The 24,132-nt window shown below is 37.6% G+C and overlaps 1 protein-coding gene across 2 annotated transcripts in view, besides 3 other annotated features; it reads right to left on the bottom strand.

Moving 5' to 3' along the window:
• The window catches only part of CPD (carboxypeptidase D), a 91,063-nt gene that overhangs the window by 63,150 nt on the left and 3,781 nt on the right, over positions 1–24,132 (bottom strand). For both annotated transcript variants that reach the window (NM_001304.5, NM_001199775.1), the window contains exon 2: positions 21,604–21,851. In NM_001304.5, coding sequence (NP_001295.2) covers positions 21,604–21,851 — 248 coding nt within the window. The remainder of the gene's footprint in view (positions 1–21,603; positions 21,852–24,132) is intronic.
• Positions 1,165–1,836: an enhancer, noted in NCBI's record as "OCT4-NANOG hESC enhancer chr17:28732022-28732693 (GRCh37/hg19 assembly coordinates)". NCBI's record gives its function as "activates a minimal SCP1, AML or CMV promoter by ChIP-STARR-seq in naive H9 embryonic stem cells {active_cell/tissue: H9 hESC(naive)}" and the evidence as "EXISTENCE:reporter gene assay evidence [ECO:0000049][PMID:30033119]".
• Positions 12,075–12,369: a silencer, noted in NCBI's record as "tiled region #2970; HepG2 Repressive DNase matched - State 8:EnhW". NCBI's record gives its function as "represses a minimal TATA promoter and a strong SV40 promoter by Sharpr-MPRA in HepG2 cells {active_cell/tissue: HepG2}" and the evidence as "EXISTENCE:reporter gene assay evidence [ECO:0000049][PMID:27701403]".
• Positions 18,128–18,813: an enhancer, noted in NCBI's record as "H3K27ac-H3K4me1 hESC enhancer chr17:28715045-28715730 (GRCh37/hg19 assembly coordinates)". NCBI's record gives its function as "activates a minimal SCP1, AML or CMV promoter by ChIP-STARR-seq in naive H9 embryonic stem cells {active_cell/tissue: H9 hESC(naive)}" and the evidence as "EXISTENCE:reporter gene assay evidence [ECO:0000049][PMID:30033119]".

The following is a 24,132-nucleotide window of genomic DNA, read 5'->3' as shown; positions in this document are numbered from 1 at the left end:
TTAAAGTATAATAAAAAAGAAAAAATAATAATAACAATTTCAGGGCCATATAAATGTAAACTAATCTAAGGGTTTTTTTGCATATGTAAAATTTAATAGCTGTGTTAATTTGCAAACATGGCCAACTCACACTTTCATTATGCTAGAAGGCAATGACGTAGAGTAACACTATAATCCCCAGGCTTGAGTCCTAGCATTCTTTTGTCTATCCCTTAATTGTCCTATTTTAGCAGCAATTTAAGAAATACTAGCTAAGACCCAGCAAGAAGATCAAGTTTACAGTAACATTTTAGAGTGTTACCTAATCAGGTTTTTAAAGGTAACTTTAATTGGACCATAACTTGTGAATTCCATCTAATGACACATACAAATATATCCCCCAGGTAGCAAGTAGGGAGGAAGGACAGAAATCATTTTAAAATAAGACTTAATTCCAAGAGAAGAAAATACATTTAGCATCCTTAGTTTGACAGAGCATATAATATAAATATTGACTTTTTAATATATATCTCTACAAACAATTACTAAAAGTCAGATTCATGGAGACAAGCCTCTTTTATTTTAGGTCTTATAGACTGATTTTAATATTAGCTTCACAGTGTAAAATCTAATGGAAATAGAAAATATTAGTTGAATCCTGACATACAGTCCCCAAATTTTTCTTTGATAAGACCATATTTAAGTTAAATAAAAAGTCATGTAAAATGACACTGGAAATAAAAAGATGACTACTTAAAAACAATATAAAAATCAATATTTTTTACTGTATTTCAGCAATAATCAGCAAATATAATTTTTAAAAAGTTTCCAGCAACGAAATCACAAAATGTATAGGATGAAGTATAATAAAATGCATAATATAAATCAATATTATAAAATGCTACTGAGGGATGTAGGAGATTTTAGTAAAGTGTATTATGCCTCTAGATAAGAGGCTTATAAAAATATCAAATTTCCCCAAATTAATTTATAAATATTATGAAAACATAGATTTTTTTGTTGCAACTGGACATAATGATTTAGAAGTTAAACTGTACCAGTAACTTTGTGAGAATTTCTGAGAAATGGCTGAGAATATCTCCCAAAAAATTAAAAAATAAGAGTGGTTTAAGAGGGGACCTGCATTGCCATATTACTAAAATACATATAATAAAACTACACTTACTAAAGCAGTTCACTTCAGGTATAAAAATAAAGAGACCAACGGAACAACATAGAAATCACAGTAACTGAAACAAAAGCATTTGGAATATGATCAAGGTATTTAAAACCAATGGGGGAAAAAATTAGTAACTCTTACATGGTTAAAAGTGGTTGACTAGGTTAACTAGGTGGCAAAAAATACTGGTGGAGTTTTACATCATATTGTGAAAGGTATGCCAAATTCACTCAATTCACTATGCCAAAAGAAAAAAATTAAGCTGAAAGCTGAGTCATGCAAGAAGCTGCCTTTCCTTTTGTTCCTAAGCAGATAGCTACAGATAAAGGGGTAAATATCTCCACAGGTAGCTCTTTCATGTTCACCTTATCTCATGAAAAGTGCCCATTTACTGAGCATGAGATGAATACATAATTGACTATTCCCCCAACTGCTCCTTTTCTCTTGCACTATGTGGATGACCTTTACTCTTTCCCCTCCAGCTCACTTTTCCCCTTTAAATATTGAAGCCCTCAAAAGTCATCTTTGGAGAAAGGGAAAGACCACAGACGGTTTCTGTGACTGTATTTATGTCTTCCGGGCATGTCCTTAACCTTGGCAAAATAAACTTCTAAATTGATTGAGACCCATCTTAGAGACAGATACTTTTTGGTTTACAGTATCATACCAAGTAAACTCTTTAATCCATATGGAATTTAACATAAAAATGAAGCCATTAATGAAACCAGAAGCCAACATAAATGTTTTTACTCTCTCAGAATGAGGAAAGCCCTTCTAAGTATGACAACAAAGTAGTATAAAACCATGAGAGGAATAATAGATGAATAGATTTAACTACCTAAAAGATTTAACTACCTAACAGATTCAACTACCAAAAAGCTAGTAAAATATCTGTTGGCCAAAAAGCTGCCATCAGAAATTTTAAAGAAAATGAAAGATGAAGTGTCTTTCATTAAAAAGAAAGAAAAAAAAGAGATGACAAAGGATTATAGAACATTTCTGGGTGAAAATTTAGTAATATGAATATAAAATCTTTAAAATAGGTATGACCTCAACCAGAAATTCCTTTTCTAGAAATTTATTCCAAGATAATAGCTATAAGGATGAGGGCTATAGTATTCAAATTGAAAGAGCATAAAACTGGAAGCAATCTAAATGTTCAAAAATGAAAGACCAGTTTAGTAAATTATGATATAAAATGGGCTACTATGCAGCCATTTAAATTACTGCAGGCATATATTTATTGTCACGATATTTACCATGCATCAAAAAAGGTTATAAAACGGCATATACAAGGCAAATATTTTTGCATGATACTTTGAATTTTATTCTTCTTTGAAGCATACAGAGGTTCTTAAATAATTTCCTTTCACTTAAGTATTAAGTAAATGATTCAAAAGAATTTTGACAATCTAGTTAACACGGTGCTTTAAAGCCTTTTTAAAAGTCAAGTTTATGGAGGTATAATAACTTATATGCTATAAAATTCATCCCATTTACATGTACAGTGCAATGTATACAGTCACATAACTACCACCACAATAAAAATACAGAACATTTCTATATCCCAGAAGGTTCCCAGACCCTGGGTTACCATTAATCTAATTTCTTTCCCTATATTTCTGCCTTCTCTAGAATGTCATATAAATAAAATCATATAGTATATAGCCTTTTGTATTAGGCTTCTTTCACTTAGCATAATGCTTTTGAGACTCATCTATATTCTTCATATATAAATGGTCCATTACATTACTAAGTATTCTATTGAATAAAAGTAGTTCAATTTGCTTATCTGTTCATCATGTGATGGTTATTTCAGTTGTTTCTTGTTTTTTGGTGATTAAAGCTGTGCATAGATCTTAATGTGGGCATATGTTTTCCTATCTTTTGGGTAAATATCTAGAGGTGGCATGGAGGGATCTTATAGTAAGTTTAACTTTGTAAGAAATTGTTTTCTAAAGTGGTTGTACCATATTCATATTACCACCAGCAATGTATCCATGTTTTAGTTATTCTGCATCATCACCTAACAAGTTGCTCATGCCACTGGAAAGTCTCTTAAATTTTAAGCATTCTAGTGGAAGACGAGTGGTATCTAATTGTGGTTTTAATTTGTATTTCACTGATAACAAATGATATTGCACATCCTTTCTTTCCCATGAAAGGAGATCTTTCATGTCTTTATTTATCTTCTATACTGGAGACCCTGGAAGACAGAGACTTTAGTGAGATGGCAGATATGAGGGAATGTGAGAAAGGGATCTCATAAAATTGCCTGTGACCACCTGGGATCATCTCTAAACTGCACATGTACAGGTCTGACCTTAAACAGCACACCAAAAGCACTGAGAACTGAACTACAAAACAGGTTACTGCCCAGCACCCAGACTGGCCCCTGAGTGGTGCACATACAGTACAGATCTGAATAGCACTATAAAGGCTTTGAAAACTGAACTGACATTGGAATTACAGCTTACATAAGGCGAGTCAAAACTTGCAGCTGAACCTAACTGGGTCATTCCCTGATGGCACAAACAGACAAGTATTATTATTTTTATTTTATTTTATTTTTTTGAGATGGAGTTTCATTCTTGTTGCCCAGTCTGGAGTGCAATGGCACTATCTCTGCTCACCGCAACCTCCACCTCCCAGGTTAAAGCGATTCTCCTGCCTCAGCCTCCTGAGTAGCTGTGATTACAAGCATGTGCCACCATGCCCAGCTAATTTTGTATTTTTAGTAGAGACAGGGTTTCTCCATGTTGGTTAGGCTGGTCTTGAATTCTTGACCTCAGGTGATCTGCCCGCCTCGGCCTCTCAAAGTGCTGGGATTATAGGTGTGAGCCACCACACCCAGCCAACAAGTATTATGTTTTAATAGGATTTAAACAAGACCCAGATCTCATAGCATAAGATTCAAAATGTCCAGGATATAATCCAAAATTATTTGACATTCAAATAACCAGTAAAAGCTCAATATATTATAAAGAAAAAAAGTCAACAGACACCAACTCCAATGTGACACAGATGCTGGAATTACCAGACTAACCTTAAAGCAGTTATTATAACCATGTTACAAGGAATTAAGGTTTTCGTTTTGTTTTGGTTTGGTTTTTTTGAGACAGAGTCTCGCTCTGTCACCCAGGCTTGAGTGCAGTGGCACGATCTCAGTTCACTGCAACCTCTGCCTCTCAGGTTCAAGCAATTCTCGTCCCTCAGCCTTCTGAGTAGCTGGGATTACAGGCATGTGCCACCATGTCCAGCTAATTTTTGTATTTTTAGTAGAGACAGGGTTTCACCATGTTGGCCAGGCTGGTCTCAAACTCTGGACCTCAAGTAATCCACCCACCTTGGCCTCCCGAATTGCTGAGATTACAGGTGTGAACCACCACGCCCAGCCTTCCAAGGAAGTAAGATTAAACAGTCTTAAAGTAAAAGAAAGATACCAAACATGCAAAATAGAAAAAAGTAGAAATTTCAGAATTTCAGAAAAATACAGTAACTAAATTAAAAAAATAAACTGAATGGGTTTAATGGAAGAATGGAAATGATAGGAAAAAGTGAGTTATCTTGAAGATGGGTAAGTAGAAATTGCCTTATGAATAACAGAGAAAGAAGAAAAAAAGATCTGAAAAAAAAGAAGAAAAAATTTTAAGAACAATAGCAAAAGGCCTACTATTGTTATCACTGGAGTCTCAGGAGAGAAAAAAAAATGGCGCCATGCTATTTAAAAAAAAAAAAAAAGTGAAATAATGGCTAGAAACACCATAAATTTGGCAAAAGACAAAAACTTACATTTCAAGAAGCTCAGCAAATCTCAAACACTATAAGTGCAAAAAAATCCATGCATGGGTATTTTATAATCAAACTGCTGAAAACCAAAGACAGAAAAAAAGTCAGCTGGGCACAATGGCTCATGCCTGTAATCTCAACATTTTGGGAGACCGAGGCAGGCGGATCCCTTGAGCCCAGGAGTTTGAGACCAGCTGGGGCAACATGTTGAAAACCTGTCTCTACAAAAAATACAAAAAAATAAGCCAGGTGTTGTGACACGTGCCTGTAGTCCCGGCTGCTTAGGAGGCTGAGGCAAGAAAATAGCTTGAGCCTGGGAGGCAGAGGTTGCAGTGAGCCACGACCGCACCACTGCACTCCAGCCTGGGAAACACAGCCAAACTCTGTCTCACAATAATAATAACAGGAAGAGGAAGAAGAAGAAGAAGAGGAAGAAGAAGAAGAAGATGAGGAAGAAGAAGAGGAAGAGGAGGAAGAGGAAGAAGAGGAGGAGGAAGAAGAGGAAGAGGAGGAAGAAGAGGAAGAGGAGGAAGAAGAGGAAGAGGAGGAAGAAGAGGAAGAGGAAGAAGAGGAGGAAGAGGAAGAGGAGTAAGAGGAGAAAGAGGAGGAGAAGGAAGAAGGAGGAGGAGAAGGAGAAGGAGAAGAAGCAGCAGCAGAAGCAGAAGAAGCAGAAGCAGAAGCAGCAGCAGCAGCAGCAATAAAATAGTCTTGAAAGTGGCCATAGAAAAATGATGTGCGTATAAAGGGGAAGAAAAATTCAAATGACTGAATTTCTCAGCAGAAGCCATGGAGGCCAGAAGGCAATGGCACAAAATTATTAAAGCACTCTAAAAAACAAACAGCAAAAACAACAAACTACAATCCACAACCCCGAGTTTTATATCCAATAAAAATGTCCTTCAAGAAGGATGGCAAGGCCGGGTGCAGTGGCTCACGCCTGTAATCCCAGCACTCTGGGAGGCCGAGACGGGCGGATCACGAGGTCAGGAGATCAAGACTATCTTGGCTAACATGGTGAAACCCCATCTCCACTAAAAATACAAAATACAAAAAAAAAAAAAAAAAAATTAACCGGGCGTGGTGGTAGGCGCCTGTAGTCCCAGCTACTCAGGAGGCTGAGGCAGGAGAATGGAGTGAACCCAGGAGGCAAAGCTTGCGGTGAGCTGAGATCGCGCCATGCACTCCAGCCTGGGCAACAGAGTAAGACTCCATCTCAAAAAAAAAAAAAAAAAAAAAAAAGAATGATGGCAAAATACACATTCTCAGAGATGGAAAACTAAGATAATCCATTATAAGCATACTTGCTTTAAAAGAAATGCTAAAGAAGGCTCTTCAGGCAGAAGAGAAGTTATACCACAGAGAAACTTAGAACTTCAGGAATGAATGAAAAGCAACAGAAATGGTAAATACAATCAGCTATTTTTCTCCCCTTAAGTCCCTTAGACTGTGTATGACAGTTGAAAGTAAAAATTATAACATTGTCTAGTAGGGTTTTCAGTGCAGCATATATATATAAGTTAAGTACAACATAAAAGGGGAGGATAAAGGGTATGGTGGGTAGGTTCGTACATTCCTCTTGAAGTAAAATATTAATTTTAGGTAGAACTGTGAAAAGTTAAGTAGTAACTTGTATTTACTAGAGCAACTAAAAGATATCGTTGAAAACACAATCCAATAGAAGGCAGGAAAAAGGAAGCAGTGGGATTAAAATGAGAGAGGCAAACTGAAAAATGAGAAAGTAGACCTAAATCCAAACATAACAATAATTATATTCAGTGTAAATGGTGCAAACACACCAACTAAAAGACAGGAATTGTAAAACTCATTAAAAAACAAGGCCCAACTCTATGCAACTACAAGAAACACAATTTATTTACTTATTATTTATTTATTTATTTTTTGAGACAGAGTCTCGCTGTATTACCCAGGTTGGAGTGCAGTGGTACAATCTCGGCTCACTGTAACCTCTGCCTCCCGGTTTCCTAAGCATTCTCTTGCCTCAGCCTCTCGAGTAGCTGGGATTACAGGTGCCTGCCACCATGCCCAGCTAATTTTTGTATTTTTATTAGAGATGGGGTTTCACCATTTTGGCCAGGCTGGTCTCGAACTCCTGACCTCAAGTGATCCACCTGCCTCAGCCTCCAAAAGTGCTGGGATTACAGGCATGAGCCACCGCACCAGGTCAGAAACTCACTTTAAATATAATGGTATAGGTAAGTTAAAAGAAAGGAAAAAAATACACCATACACACACAAATCAAAAGATGGAGTAGCTATATGACTATCAGGTAAAATAGACTTCAGAGCAAGGAAAAATGCCAGAGATAAAGAGGGACATTACATAACGATAAAAGTGTAGATTCACCAAAACGACATAATTCTAGATGTGCATGCAACAATCAGAATTTTGAAATATATAAAACAAAAATTTATAGAACTAAAAGGAAAAATGGGTAAATCCACAATTTTGGTTGCACATTTCAACATTCTTCTCTCAGTAATCAGCAGAAAAGACAATCAGCAAAGGATAGAGAAAAATGTAATAATACTATCAACTAACTAGATCTATAAATGATATTTATACTATACCCCACCCAACAATGGCAGAATACACATGCTTTTCAAGTACAAATGGAACATGCACCAAGTCTGACCATATCCTAGGTCAAACTTTGTATGATTTAAGTTTGACCTAGGTCAAACTTACATACAAAGGGTGTTCTCTGACCACGATGTTATTATATTGAAATCAATAACATAAATATATTATAAAATATTTATCTCTGTCTTGATACAATCTCATAAAAGTAAAGCACGTTTCCTCTGAGTCTATAATAATGAACTGTTTTCAGAAGGCAATTAATGAGTTGTGATGTCTACCTTTATCTTCTTCAAACTCATAAATGTCTGAAGAGTAGCAAACTAATTTTTATTTCATAAGACAAAAAGATAAACTATCCTAGCATTAGAATATCAAAACGTCTTTATTCATCAACTTCAAGTTTTGGTTTAGGAATTTTTTTTTAATTATTTAAAAAAATTTTTTTTATTTTTAAAATTATTTTTAAATTTATTTTTTTAATTATTTTAAAACATGGAACCAAATGGGGACATTAAGTTATGAATAATTCAAGAATTTTTTGTGAGATGTCACAGATAGGCATTATTTGCCATCTATGTTAAACTTAACATTTATTTTTCTGAAACCAAATGTCAAAGACTGTATAATAAGTAATCCTAACTAAGTAGCTGGTTCAGGTTTGTTGTCTTAATTTTTTTTTTCTCAACACAAAACCTACTTACCCAAAGCTAGAGTTCACCCAAACAGGGAGCAGCCACTGATCTGTAGATAGGCCTGACATTAATAACAGCTGCAGCTACTGCCAGATTCAGTTAATATATTTGCTTATCTTTTTAAGTTGATATGTCATTTGGCTCAACAAAGATTAAAGGAGAAATGTCAGGTTTCAGAATATCTTTATTCAGCCAAAGAAAATTTTAATTTTGGAAGTAAAACATTCAGTTACAGGCACACCTCAAAGCAATAAAGCACTTTAATAGTATAAATGATCTGCAATTTATCCTACTTATTAACAATCATAAATAAGCGAGTTTCTATTATTCTATTATTATTCTATTCTATTATTCTATTCTGTTCTATTCTATTCTATTATTCTGTTCTATTCTACTATTAGTCTCTCAGGGGGTTATATAAACCAATGATCTTCAATTTGTTTGTTAATACTAAAATAACTGAAAAAATATGCGACGCTTCACAAATTTTTAAGTTGGTATTCACAAGTTTTCATCTTAAGTTTAAATAGTTGTAAACAAAGGAATATCCTGCATAATGTAAATTTTTCTCTTTTTTTTTTTTTGTAGAGACAGTGTCTCACTATTTTGCCCAGGCTGGTCTCGAACTCCTGGGCACAAGCAATCCTCCCACCTTGGCCTCTTAAAGTGCTGGAATTACACTGTGTGAACCACTGCACCATGACCAGTTTTTTTTAAATAAAACTTTTATATTATTATTTTAAATATATCCAAATAAAAATGCCAGAGATTTGATTTCTAGAAATATCTATTTAAAAGTTGCCTGAACATGCCTCTTTAAGGAATTTTATATCTTCTTTTTTTTTTTTTTTTTTTTTTTTTGAGACAGGAGTCTTGCTCTGTCACCCAAGCTGCAGTGCAGTGGCGTAGTCACAGCTCACTGCAGCCTTGCCCTCCAGGCTCAAGTGATCCTCCCACCTTAGCCTCCTGAGTAGACTGGACTGCAGATGTGCACCACCATGCCTGGCTAATTTTTTTATTTTTACTTTTTGTAGAGACATATCTCACTATGTTGCTCAGGCTGGTCTTGAAGTCCTCAGCTCAACTAATCCTTCTGCATCGGCCTCCCAAAGTGCCAGGATCATAGGCCTGAGCCACCATACCCAGCCACATCTTCTCTTTTTCTCTTTGAACTTTTTTTCCATTCTACTTCCTCCACAGAATGCTATTTGAATGTGATATACCTGCATGCTTGAAAGTCTTTCACCAATCATTCTATAATTTTTCAATCTATAGTATGTTAGTGTATTTAAATTTTTCTTAATTTCCAATGACTGTAATGCTCTAAGTATTAATTCTGTGTCCTCTAAATTGAATTATTACAATAGTCACTAGCACACAATTTATCAAAAAGGCATAGTTTTTTTTACAAATTTTGGTAAATAATAAAATAGTAAATATAAGAAATAATTACTGAAAATACATCTTTCAAAGAAAAATTGGGGGTGATGCTCTTATGGTACTGTTTAACCATTAAAGTAATCACCAAATTGTTCCTTTTGTTTTAGTGCCCTGGAAGTTTGTAAAACTCCAAGGCAATACACCATAATGTGATTCAGGTGGGTAGAAAAGTATGCCTGTCTTCAGTCAATTGGGAGAAGAGAATATGAGATAGAACCTCCACAGCAAGTATCTTTCTCAGGCAGATTAATTTTAGGAAAGAATACGTATGAAAACTGAGATCTAAAAATTAAGAGAGAGAGAGAGAGAGGAAGGAAAGAAGGAAAGAAAGGAAGAGGAAATGAAAGGAAAGGAAAGGAAAGAAAGAAACCTACCATTCATTTACCAGTATCAAAGAACAAGACTCAAAGTGTAACCATTAGGAATCTGTCTAGTAATACTGCAAATTGTGATCAATACCAATGCTAATTGTTACGGATAGCTAAATCTTCTGATCAAGTGATCTACTCGTACCCATTAAACTCTTTCAATCGATTTGTAGCACAACTAATCTTCATGTGTTTTAAGATACTCAATCCGTCTTGATTAGGAAACAAGTCTCTTATCACTCTTTTCACCACAGAAAGATCTAGCTTTTAAGGGGAGGGGAGATTAATAAATTCAATCCTTCATTCAAAGATACTAAAGATTCACTCTTCTGTCTCAAACAGAAAGCCAAAAGAAAAAATACAGCCAATGCTTCAGTGTTAAGAAACATAGCAAGTTTTTTTTGTTTTTTTTTTTACTTGCCTCTGCAGGCCAACTATAAAGTGTCAAACTGCATTACACAAGAACCCTATTAATCTTTTACAAGGAAACTACAATGTGTTTTTTTAAATAGGAAAAGCATTTTAAAGTCTAGGAATATAGACAGACAATTTCTACCCTATATTTCAACTTGGAGCTTAATGATATTACTTTATTAAAACTACTTTGAAGGATAGTGAGAAATTCTCTCACGACTTTGAATTTCCTGAACAATTTTTTATAGGCAATAAGTGAGTTATTAAGTGATAATTTTGTACTTTCTGAGATATTTTTAAAAGCTAATGAGCATAACGTTTGTAAAAAAATTTTAGGTGGAAAATCTGGGCCAAATCAATGGAAAAATCAGAGGTTGCTCTTAAAAAAATTCCCCAAATTCCTAATTTTTAAATTCAAGTTCACATTGATCAAATCTTAACTAACTGAACCTGGTCTTTGTATTCTGAGCAACCTATCTTGTGAAAATCTATTTCCTTCACCACTCCCACTGAATATATATTTGCTAATGATATGATTCTACAGAGTTAAACTAAATTACACAGTCCTACATCTGTTTTCATTTTTGTCTAACTTGGTTAACACTGTCTCCCACATAGCTCTTTGAACTGTATTTTCCTTTTTTTTTTTTTTAAATGTACTCTCCCATTCTCTACCACCTGAGTTAAACAGGAAAAAAGGAAAAGAAAAAAGTACATCCAATTTATACACATTAGATCTAAAGACTGGGGGCCAAATCCTAAAGGAGTGTTAGGTTCTCTTCATTTAGGCCTATTATCACGTTACAAAGTACACAACTGCACTGCTCCTAAAGGTCAGTCTTTATACTAGGTTATGCTTCAATTTACTAAAGCCAACTCGTGACTCCAAGCAAATATTCTGTTTTGGAGTATTGTTTTACCTTTTTGCTTTCCTTTTAAATTAGGCAGCACTCAGATTTTAAAAGAGAAAATAAAGGGAAGAAAAAGCCTCAACCAGGTCTTTAATGTGCAAGATCAGGTAAGACCAAAAGCACTTTACTAATGCACATTTGATTATCAACTGTACCTTTAAAATATGATCAGGCTGAGAATTAATATCTGAATTGTTGGCATTCCTTAAGGAAAACATCCCAGTACGAAATGCATTCACTTTAGAGGTAAAAAAAAAAAAAAAAAAAAAGCACCCATCTGTTCATTTATATATATGTTCTGGTTGAACTTCTAGCTCCACGCAATTAAATTATGCCAGAAAACACTATTAATTCAATTTTCAAAATCATCTACACTGCCATATGCTTTCCAAATGTCTCAAAACTTCTAAATCTCTTTCTCATCTTGACCTCTCTCCCAAGCTCTAGAACCTATTCCCTAACTGCCCATTGGGTACTTGTGACTAGTACATCAAGTACTATTAATATTTCCAGTTTTCACTCCTCTTTCACCTGAACGAACACACACACACACACACACACACATACACACATGCTCACTCGCTTGCTGTCTCCCAATCCCCACCATCCAATTAGTTTTTCCCACTCCCATTCTTTCTAATCCAAGCTCAAAATCCTCAAAGTCATATCTTTGACATCCTCTCTTTGACATTCTGTTCTGCTATTTAAACGATGGTCAATTCTGCAGTTCTTCTTGCATAACTTCTTATATATGTATCTTATACTCCCTTTTCATTCCCCTACATGCCCTCTAGGTAAAGCCCTTATCTCCAAAGAGACCTCATCCCAGATGACTGTAAACACCTCTCTAGTTTTCCCTCCTCTAGGACTCTTTCCTGCCAATACATTTTGCACAAAGATAACTCCAAAACGAATAGCACTACACTGTCCTTATCATCAAAGAATTCACACACTAACAGGAAACAAAAAAACTATTAACAACATAAGTGGATAAGTATTATACTGATGGTACTGTATAAACAAAAAGCTCTCGAAGGTAGGATAGTGACAGTTATTATAGGAGAGGTTTCAGAAGAGGTTACAGCTAAACTGGTGAAAAGCACTTCAGACAGAGGATAGCCTAACATGTGAAGGTTCACATTTGGGAAGGACAAGTAGTCCGGTGGCAGAGGAGAGGTAGGAGCTGAGGCTAAACTTATAGGCTTGAGTCAGACTGTGGGATCTTCGCTCCCATGCTAAGAAGTATTAGACTTGATCCTATGAACCCTGTATTATAAGCTTTTTTTTTTCTTTTTTTTTTGACACGGGTCTTCCCCTGTCAAAAAAAAAAAAAAAAAAAAAAAAAAAAAGGCTGGAGTGCAGTGGTGCAATCATAGCTCACTGCAGCCTCACATTCCTGAGCTCAAACTATCTTGCTGCCTCAGCCCCTCAGCCTCCCAAGTAGCTGGGACTACAGGGGTGCATCACCATGCCCCACTAATTTTTGTATTTTTTAAGAGATGAGGTCTCACCAGTTGCCCAGGTCTTAAACTCCTGGCCTCAAGCAATCCTCCTACTTCAGCCTCCCAAAGTGCTGGGATTACAAGTGTGCTCCACTGCTCCTGGGCCTATTTTACCTGTGTATCTTTGTTGTTTAGTTTTTAATATATAATCTTAAAAACAAAGTAACACAAGCGCTAACAGAACCAGATGCATCTTCCCTAAGCGTGACAGCTGGTTTCTTAGTCATCCACACCTCAAATTAGTAAACAGACTCTGCAGGAAAATTAGATATAAGGACAGTATTCTGTACGCGTTCATTAGGTCAGATTGGTTTATTTATGTTATTCAAATCCACTGTATCCTTACTCACATTTTTGTGATCTAACAGTTATGATCTCTATGACCTACTAGTTCTGAAAGAGGCCTATTTTAAACTTCCTACTATATTTATGGATTTGTCTGTTTCTTAATATCAGATATTGTATTTTTATAGTTACATACTGTTCATCTTATTCCTTTTTGTTTTAGATTACAATTTTCTGGTGTTACTGGGTTAATTCATAATATCCTATTTAATGACACAGAAAATACTCCTCAAAAATAAGCTTTCTGGTCCATTTCTGGACCAAATCTAAACTTTCAACAGCATTGTTGAAAACAGGTGGGTAATTATTTTCCCCATGCTCTTCCTTTTCCATCAACAATCTACTTCCAGCCAAACATACTTCAATATTTAAAGCACACTGCTACTGCTCAGTCTGACCTCCAGTTTGGGGAAAGAATAGTTGTCTGCATGATAAAAGGAGTTGATATTCACACAAAAAACTGAATTGGTTACATTATATGCTTTCTGGCCACATTTCATAACTCTGTCCATTGTATAAAAGGAGAGGGAAGAAAATTTGATAAATCCAAAGAACAGTTTATTCTTCTTCCAGAGGAGAAAACAATCATAATTACTAGTTTGAAAAGGCTCAGCCTCAAGTTTATAGTGGCTTAAGAAGACAAATATAAAGCTTTATGGCAGCTGTCCTAACTAATAATAGAATCCATAGACTCACATGAGCAATACATAGGCCTGACAACTATATTTCTGACCAATTTCCTAACTCAACACTCATTCGTATTTTAGGGAAAGCAATCTAAAAGTAGAACATCTGAGATAAATATCTGTGGCCCAGTCCTCACTGCAAATAACTGAAACATATAAACAAGTTGGGAGGAAAAACCCAAATAATAAGTTATCACACACAACTTGTAAGGTGTTTTGTTCCTACTTAGAATTTGAAAATAAATGAATTCTACCACAGGGTGATCAAGAATAGTGTTTTTTCAAACTGAAGGTCATCATGCATTAGTGGGTTGTGAGATATATTAGTGGGTTCAGACATATTTTTTAAAGAATGATATAGAACAAACTAAAAGAAATAATACCAGAATGTATAGTAAAAGTATTGTTCCATGAAATTTTTTAATGTACACACATATATATGAAATGTACATACACAACTAAAAGGTATTTCATATTATAGGTTAAAAGTAAGAAAAAAAAGTTCAAATAATACTGATCTAGGATCTACCAGTAAGGCAAGCTTATTTACTCAGAGTAGGAGCAAAACTAGGAAGAATATTTTTATAAATTGTTATAAGATTAACTAAAGATCTAAGATTTTAGGCCGGGCGCAGTGGCTCATGCCTGTAATCCTAGCACTTTGGGAGGCCGAGGCGAGCAGATCACCTGAGGTCAGGAGTTAGAGAGCAGCCTGGTCAACATGGTGAAACCCCGTCTCTACTAAAAATACAAAAATTAGCCAGGCGTAGTGGTGCATGCTTGTAACACCAGCTAACTGGGAGGCTGAGGCAGGAGAATCGCTGGAACCTGGGAGGCAGAGGCTGCAGTGAGCCGAGATTGCGCCACTTCACTCCGGCCTGGGTGACAGAGTGAGACTTTGTCTCCAAAAAAAAAAAAAAAAAAGATTATCCAAAGATCAAATAACTATGTATTTATGTTTCGGATGGCAAAAATTCATTTATTCCAAAAAGACTATTATTTACCTTATATATACCAGGCATGGTTGTGTGTGCTAGAAATAGAAAATGGAATAAAACAAAGTCCCTATCTTCAAGAGTAAGTTTAAACTCTAGTAGATATAAGTAGCCATGGCACCAGATGCTAGGCTAAAGTGCTTTACACACATTCTCACTTGAGCCTCCTAATCTTGTGAGTAGATAGTATTTATCTTAATTTTATATAAGTGGGAATTGAGGCTTAGAGAAATTCATTAATTTGTCTCTCACCCACACCACACACACACACGCACACAGCTAGTCAAGGCAGAGTTGTGATTCCAACCTAAGGCAACGGGATTCCAAAGCTCTCTCTTTGCCACTACATTGCACTGCCTTCTACTGTTCTTCTATCTGCAAGAAAATAAAATATAACAATGTTCTGCCCAAGAAAACTTCTAAAAGTTACATAAAACTATGATCTTTGATCAAATAATTTCAACTATACGTTGCCTGCCCTTCCTTAAATTGTATAATTTGAAAGAAGGCAATTCTTTTTTGTCTGTTTGTTTTCTTGGAGACAGGGTCTCATTATTTTGCCCAGGCTGGGCTTGAACTCAAGATCCTCCCGCCTTGGCCTCCCAAGTATCTGCGACTACAAGCACACGCCATGGCTTAAAAGTTGACCTAAAACTACAGTTCAGTTTTTATTAAATCTGCTTTGGAATAAACATACCAAAACATCATATGATTTTTACAATGTCTTCAAAACTGTGAAGAAAGAACGGTAGGCAAATGGCATACAAATCAGCGCACTGTGATTAAAAAAAAAAAAAAAAAAAAAGGCGGCCAGGCACGGTAGCTCAGGCCTGTAATCCCAGCACTTTGGGAGGGCGAGGCAGGTGGATCACTTGAGGTCTGGAATTCAAGACCAGCTTGACCAACATGGTAAAACCCTGTTTCTACTAAAAATACAAAAATTAGCCGGGCATGGTGGTACATGCCCGTAACCTCAGCTACTCAGGAGACTGAGGCACTAGAATCGCTTGAACCCAAGAGGCAGAGGTTGCAGTGAGCTGAGATTGTGCCATTGCACTCCACCCTGGGCAACAAGAGCGAAACTCCATCTCAAAAAAAAAAAAAGGCATCTTACTCCATGAACAAGTCCAGAGTAGGTCTCACAATAACGAGGCTTTGGAAGGGGATGTGGCTATTCATCAGCCTTATTAGGATAGCCATTTCCTAAATGGATCCTGAGGTTTGTGAGACATGTTGAATGAAGCAAGGCTCACCCACATAGGCAGCTAGATATGCTGGGCCAGCCCTGGCAATGAAGGCAAAGGCACTAGGGCCCAAATCACCCCAGATTCCACACTACTAATATACTATCTGATTCCTCAGAGCAGGAGTTGTTTCTGTTTTGCTCTCACTGTATACCGGTACATCACCTAATACAGTATATGTGGCACGGCAGGAACTCAGTAAATATTTGCTATATTAATACATTATATTGCACAAGTTAGTTCCTCTCTCAGGCCTTGATTTTCTCTAAAACAAAAGGGTTGGACTAAATCAATATATTCACTTTCAGCTCTAAAGGTCTATACTTCTTTAAGCTAGAATTCCTAAATATATCACATAGAACATCAGTAAAATTACTCGGCTGAGCATGTGGCTCCCGTTTATAATCCCAGCACTTTGGGAGGCCAAGGTGGGCAGATCACTTGAGGCCAGGAATTCAAGACCAGCCTGGTCAACATGGTAAAACCCTGTCTCTACTTAAAATACAAAAAATTAGCCAGCATGGTGGCACACACCTGCAATCCCAGCTGCTCAAGAGGCTGAGGCACGGGAATCATCTGAACCCAGGAGGCAGAGGTTGCAGTGAGCTGAGATCACGCCTGCACTCCAGCCTGGGCAACACAGCAAGACTCTGTCTCAAAAAAAAAAAAAAAATTACTCCAGGACATCCGGGTTTTTTGAATATATGCCTAGTCACAAGGTTTCACAACATCTTACTCACTAAACACAATGAATTCACCCTGTTGAAACTAAAACCATCACAGCCTCCTCTTCAAGGGGAAACTGCTCAATATTTGCTGAGGTACGAAGAGAAATAAGCCAGTTATTGTAGAAATAACATAGGACATATCCGACATTCAGCTGAAACAAGAGAAAAGTTGATGCTCATGAAAATAAAAATGACAGCAGCATAATGTAGCTTCTTCAGATGTCTGAATAATCAGAAAAATCTGATGATAACTAGCTTCACCAAATAATCTCTGGCCTTAATACCAAAGTACACCTACGTTTTGTAGAGGCCGGATATTTATTTTTTAAGTAGTATGAGATACATTTACCTTCCTCAATTAATTGTCAGTTAGAAATTACTTTCTAACCTTTTACAACTTTTTCCAAAAAGGCAAAGTTAAGTATTTACCCCATTATTTTAAGTAACATCATCTCAAATTAATGAAGCAACTTGACTAGATTACAAAACCACCAGTTCAAAGTTAGGTTTTATTAAATATATTTCCCAAGGACTGAAATGTAAAAATTACACATTAAAGTAAGTCCATTATCTACAAAAAAATTTTTAATGATTTTCAAATCACCTCTAATTGTTATGGGGAGAAGGTTTCACTTCTAAATAGTATGTCAAACCTCTTTTTGAATGCTTCTGATATACAAGAAACACTGGTAGAAACTATAGGAGGATCAGAAAATTCTAGAAAGTGATAGCAGCAGCAGGCCGGAAGGTGCGGGAAGGAGGCGGACAGCCACCCCTTCTGCAGCCACCCCCCACAGCCCGCTGCCACCCCCCAGAGCCCGCTGCCCTGGGGGCTGCCGTAATGGGGTCAGGCCCAGAGCAGCACAGCGGGGGAGTAATGTAGTCAGGCAGAGAGGAACCCCTATGCGGAGCTGGGGCTGTGCTTCGGGGGCGGGGCGGAAAGCAGGAGCTGCTCCAGCTTTGGGGATCTGGCCAGAAGTGCAGCCACTGCGCCCACCCCACTAAGGGTCCCGGGTTCCTGGGCTCGGGAGGAGGCTCTGCGCGGGCCACTTGGGGCCAAGTCCCCAGTGTCCGCCACACGTGGGGTGACCTCCCAGCCTGACACTCCTGACAGCCTGGCCCCAGGCCCGCAATCAGCTCCGGGCCACTCCTTAGCCCCAGGGCAACAGGGAAGCTTGTGGCAATGTCGCCCCTGGCCCAGACACTGGCCCAGGCCCAGCGAGGATTAGGAGCCACCCGCCACAGGCTCCCAGGGGGCACGGCTGGGGCTGCATGCTCCACTGAGTCGGCGGGAGCTGGGAGCTGGCAGCAGCTGCGTCCCCCGACCTCCTAGGCCCCCCTTACCCTTGCAGGCTTGGAGATGCCTGCTCCTGCTGCCTGGCCTCTCCCCATTCTTGCGTCTGCTCCTATCCGGGATTGGGGTTGGAGCTGAGGCGGCGCACTGTCACTGCCCGGAGGGGTACGCACATGCTTGGGCCCTGTTGCCTGGGCCCCCACCGGACTGGGCACTGACAAGCATGGAAGAGGGAACCAAGGTTGGGGACTGAGGGCGACTCAGCACTGGCTTGCAGGTGCCCCTTAGCACGAGCAGCCGGGGTGCCATGGAAAGCAGCAAGAGGCAGACTAGCTCCTGGGTATAAGGGAGGGGGTCCCTGGTGAGGCCCCACCTTCAGGCCAGGGAGGTCCTGAAGGCTGGGGGCCAGGCTGCCAGTCCCATAGACTGGAGTGGGGACTTGTGCCTTTTCCAGGCTGCCCGTGGCGCCCATGAACCAATCGGCATACACTTCCTCCCCTCTGAGGTCCATAAAAGCCCTGGGCTCAGTCAGAGCAAGGCAGAGGATGGAGAGATGATGGGACAACCAGAGGGTAGCTCCTCTCTGCTGAAAGCTGAAGCTGAACACTCATCAGGATGACCTGCCTGTAGAGAGGGGCCACCCACTCCAGGGTTCCTTTGTGCTGAGGGCTGAACACTTGACTGGGTGACCTGCCTACAGAGAGGAGATGCCCACTGCCGGTCTCCTCTGAGCTCAATAAAGCTCCTCTTTGTCTTGCTCACCCTCCACTTGTCTGCATACCTCATTCTTCCTGGATGCAGGACAAGAACTTGGGCAAAGGCACCACCAGGCACAGAGGTTTCCAACCAGAAAAGCAATACCCCAAAGATCCAGTAACGAAAGTATTAAATTCTCAAACTTATGACCCATTTTGGGTACATATGGCTTGATATAAAAAGTAAAAGAGTAATTCAAAGGTTTAAATATACATTAAGAGACATGTCATAAGACACTTTATAATGTGACTGCCAATAAAAAGGTAAGGAAGACCTAAGGCATTTCATCATGGGCAGACTCCTAGAAAAGAAAAAATTTACACTGATGACATTTCCATTGGTTGACTTATTCCTTCTAAGTTCCCTCTACATCTACATCTGTGCATAAAAACAAAAACGTTATTATTCAAAGCATACCTAAAGTTTAAAAAGAGTAATAGCTGTTTTCATAGCATTTAAAGAGAAAAGGTAAACAGTTCAAGCTTGTATTAACAATTCTTGCCAGGCACGGTGGCTCATACATAATTCCAGCACTTTGGGAGGCTGAGACAGGTAGATCACTCGAGGTCAGGAGTTCGAGACCAGCCTGGCCAACATGATGGAACCCTATCTCTACTAAAAATACAAAAAATTAGCTGGGCCTGGTGGCAGGCACCTGTAATCCCAGCTACTTGGGAGGCTGAGGCTGGAGAATCACTTGAAGCCAGGAGGCGGAGGTTACAGTGAGCCAAGATCATGCCACTATACTCCAGCCTGGGCAACAAGAGTGAAATTCCATCTGAAAACAACAACAACAACAACAAACAATTCTTTAAAAAATAACATTTCATAAGAAATTGGAATTCTTATATATTGCTGGTGGGAATGTAAATGGTATATCTACTGTGGAAAATAGTCTGTCAAAGCTAAACATAGAATTACCATTTGACCCAGCAATTCTACTCCTGGGTATATATCCAGACGAATTGAAAATAAGGACTCATACAGATACCTGAACGCCAACGTTCATTACGCATTATTCCTAGTAGCCAAGGTGGAAACAACCCAGTGCTCATCAATAGATGGATAAACAAAATGTATTACTAACATATACATTCAAGGAATATTATTCAGCTATAAAAATGAATAAAGTTCTGATACCTGCAACAAAATGGATCACCCTTAAGAATATTATGTTAAGAAAAATAAGCCTGATGCAAAAGGAAGAATATTGTATAACTCCAGTTATATAAAATATCTAAAATGGGCAAATTCACAGAGATAGAAAGTAGATTAGAGGTTACCAATGGCTGGGGGTAAGGGATAGAGATGGAAGTGGGAATTATTATTTAATGCCTACCGAGTTTCTGTTTGGGATGATGAACAAGTTTTAGAAATAGTGGTGATGGTTGCACAACATTGTGAAAATTAGTACCACTGAGCTCTACACTTAAAAATGTTTAAACAGTTAAACTGTCAAATTTCATGTTATGTATATATATATGTATGTTTTACCACAATAAAAATAAAAAAAACAGCATTCCATGATCACCTCACAGATTAAAATACAAAAGGAAAATGTGCCTTTATGTAAAATGGAGAGATCTGGGCTGGGTGAAGTGGCTCACATCTATAATCCCAGCACTTTGGGAGTTTGAGGTAAGAGGATCCCTTGAGGTCAGGAGTTTGAGATCAGCCTCGGCAACACAGCGATACCCCATCTCTACAAAAAATTTAAAAATTAGCTAGCATGGTGGCACACATCTATAGTTCCAGCTACTCAGGAGATTGAGGCAGGAGTATTGCTTGCGCCCAGGAGCTTGTGATTACAGTGAGCTATGATTGTACTATTGCACTGCAGCCTGGGTAACAGAGTGAGACCCTATCTCTTAAAAAATATATACATTTTAAATTTAAATGGAGAGACCTGGTTGCTGGTGGTCATCATGTTAACCAAGCTGTCCAACTTGGCCACTTGCAGCTTGACGTTATGGGTCTCCTGATATAATGCGCAACATGATCTATATAATAGTCTTGCTGGGAAACCTGACCTAATCTTACCATGAAGAAAGTGACAATCTAGATTATGGAATTTTTCCATAGGACTATTAGCACGGTCTCTTTACAAGAGCCAACTGCAATGCTTGAACTTTGATTGGATACTAGATCTGGATAAAAAGGGGCTACCAAGGCTACTTTGGACATAATGGGGGAAATCTGAGTTACGGATGGCATGTGGTATGATAATATTAAATTATCATTGATTTCTCAGTTATGGTAATAGTATATAGTTAAACAGGAAAATGTCCCTGTACTTGGGAAATACATGCTGAGGAACTTATAGGTAAAGTGTTGTGAAATCTGCAACCTACTTTTGGATGGTTTGGCAAAAAAATTGTGTGATTGTGTGTGTGTGTGTGTGTGTGTGTGTGCATGCACATACACGTGCATGTAGAGAGTGAAAAAGAGAGAGGGAGAGGCAAGCCATCTGGGATAAGATAACAGTGGTGAATTTAAATGAAGGACAGATAGGTCTTCATGTAGTCCTTCAATTTTGCTGTAGATTTGAAATTTTCAAAATAAAAATAAATATCTTTTAAAGTTAGATTTCTACAGAGTTTCTTCTTTTTTGCTCAGAATACACATAACAAAATTCAACGAACAAGGGGGAAAATGTAGCAAACTCAATGCTTTGCATACCTTCCACATCATACCAATGTGCGCCGTTTGTGATTCCATCTTTGAAAGTCTCGTCTTCATCTCCTGGACAATGAGGCTCACCAGTTTTCATTATGGGGTGGTTTGAAGCATAAGCTTTTGCCAAGTATTTAAATACTTCATCATCTGAGGTTTTGCTATAGATTCCAGTGGCCTTATGTTCTGGAGAATCATCAAAAGGATAGCTTGCTACCACTGAGCCACCATGCAGATTTCCAGAAAGCACAAACCTTTGAAAATACAACCAAATCACGTATCACTAAAAAAGGACACAAAACACCATGCATTAAAAAAATTCCACAAAATCTTTTAGAAATAAACTCCAATATCTCTCTTGGAGACCTAGAAAACAACTCTATCAGCTGTTATCTGTTATAAGGAGACTAACAACAACAAAAAAAGAAAATGGAAAGAAAGTATTATCAATTTAAGATTTCAAACACCTTTAACAATTCAGGTTAACCTAAACTAACTTTAAAGAGTTTTCCTTCATTGAAAAAATAGCTGGATAACACAGTATAAATTAATATTTCAGGAAATGTCTTATTTAGGGAATTCTAAATTCATGTATTAGGTTGAACTATATGAGCTTTGAGCTTGCCAATATTCACCCTTTTCTTTTTGGTAGTGATGGGGTCTCGCCATGTTGCCAGGCCTCCCAAAATGCTGGGATTAGAGGCATGAGCCACTATGCCTGGCCCTCACCCATTTTTTTGACCTAAAAAAATGACAATTTCATATAGTTCAGTCTACGACTTGTATTTCATAATACGTAAATTCCACAGAAAATATGGCTGGTATATATAAATATTCATTGCATATATGTTAGGTTAATAACTTTTATGCTTTTTACATTTACCGTCCAAAGAGAATTTTTAAGATAGGAAGTCTAATTTTTAAAAGGATATTTTGTGTTTCACTCCAGTTTCACAATATACTAAATTCACATTTTCAAGAGAGAAGCCATAGTTGAGAAGATTCAGGAAAAAAACAAACAAAGAAAACAACCTGATTCAGTGAGCTGCTTACAGAGAAAAACAATACACCATGTCAAAGACTAGTCCTCCAATACATCACTGTAGAAGCAGCTCTTTCAAGGCCCAATGTTTCTGATTGGGCCATTAAAAAAATAAATTGACATGGAGGCAAGGCTGCTCCTGTAAAAGAAACATTTTTTTTAATGCTTCTACTTTTAAGTGAACCAATTTACAATTTGGTCAAACTTATCTATATAGAAATACTGAAGAATTCCTTTTATGGTAAAAGCTAAAACCTAAAGGCAAAAAAAATGCTAAAGTCCTATTTAAGCATCTTTCCCTTATATAACAGCTTAAACCATTACTATCAGTAGAGATTAAATACTTTTCTTTTTCCATTCTAAATAGGATTTTCTTGCTTCTGCCTTTCTGTTGTTGAAATTAACTGACCTACAGAAATTCTAAAGGGGGTTGATATATAAGATTTTTCTATATGCTTGAAAAAAAAGTAAACCTATCATGTCTAATTTGAAAGACTATTTTAAGCATGATGAGTAGTATTATCCCAGAGAAGATCAAACAATGAAAATTACTTGTAACACAAAATCTGTTCATCAGAAGACAGATCTTTGCCAATAAGGACACTGATTAAACACTAGCATAGACCATGAAAAGAAACTAGCTAAAAACTAATATAATTATAATTAGCACCCTTCCAGACACCAGAGAAGAATGCCATTTGGTGTAGTGGCAATGGCACAGGCTTTGGAGACAAATTTGGGTAAGAACATTCCGTCTCCCAGATCTGTTGCTCACCAGTAATATAACATAATCAGGAGAAGTTACTGCCTTTAAATTCGCTGAACCTCAGTTTTCCTTTCATTTGTAAAATGGGGATTAATGCTACCCATTTCCCAGAGTTGTCATGAAAATTAAGATAACACACATGAAACATAATCTGGCATAAAGACTACTTTATAGCCCCTGCTCAACAAATGTTCATTTCTTTGGAGGTATCTAGCATCCTGTTTAAGGAAACACTGCCTTACAAACTATCATTCTACTCCCCACTTCCACTGCCAGTCCTTGGGTAATAGAATGATACAGAAACAAAAACTAAGTAAATATTCTAACTTTCTAACTCCACTCTAACCACCTCTCCCCTATAGCTAAGGTATTAACAATTTACTCTCTGGTTTGTAATTCTAAAACAATTTTTAAGTATTTTTCCCCCACTGACTCTGGGAAAGTTATAAGAAGGCTGGGGCAGGTCAGGTAATCCATTCGGCAACAAACATTTCTTGAGTGTCAACTATTTGCCAAATGACGTTTCAGGGACAGATACATCCCAAAGGACATTCCAGGGATAGATACATCTGTGAGCGAAACAAACAAACAAATACCCTCTGGGCATTCATATTCTAGTAAAATAAAATGGATAATTAAATATTCTAAATAAGTAAAGCATGCTACTTTAATTACACATGTTAAGTAAAACTTTAAAATCCAAGATTCTCTACAAAATGCTGTTTCT

Source organism: Homo sapiens, chromosome 17, assembly GCF_000001405.40.
Source record: "Homo sapiens chromosome 17, GRCh38.p14 Primary Assembly".
NCBI classification, from domain to species: domain Eukaryota; kingdom Metazoa; phylum Chordata; class Mammalia; order Primates; family Hominidae; genus Homo; species Homo sapiens.
Note: the sequence above shows the minus strand (reverse complement) of the source record. Positions and strands in the feature narration are given on the sequence as shown.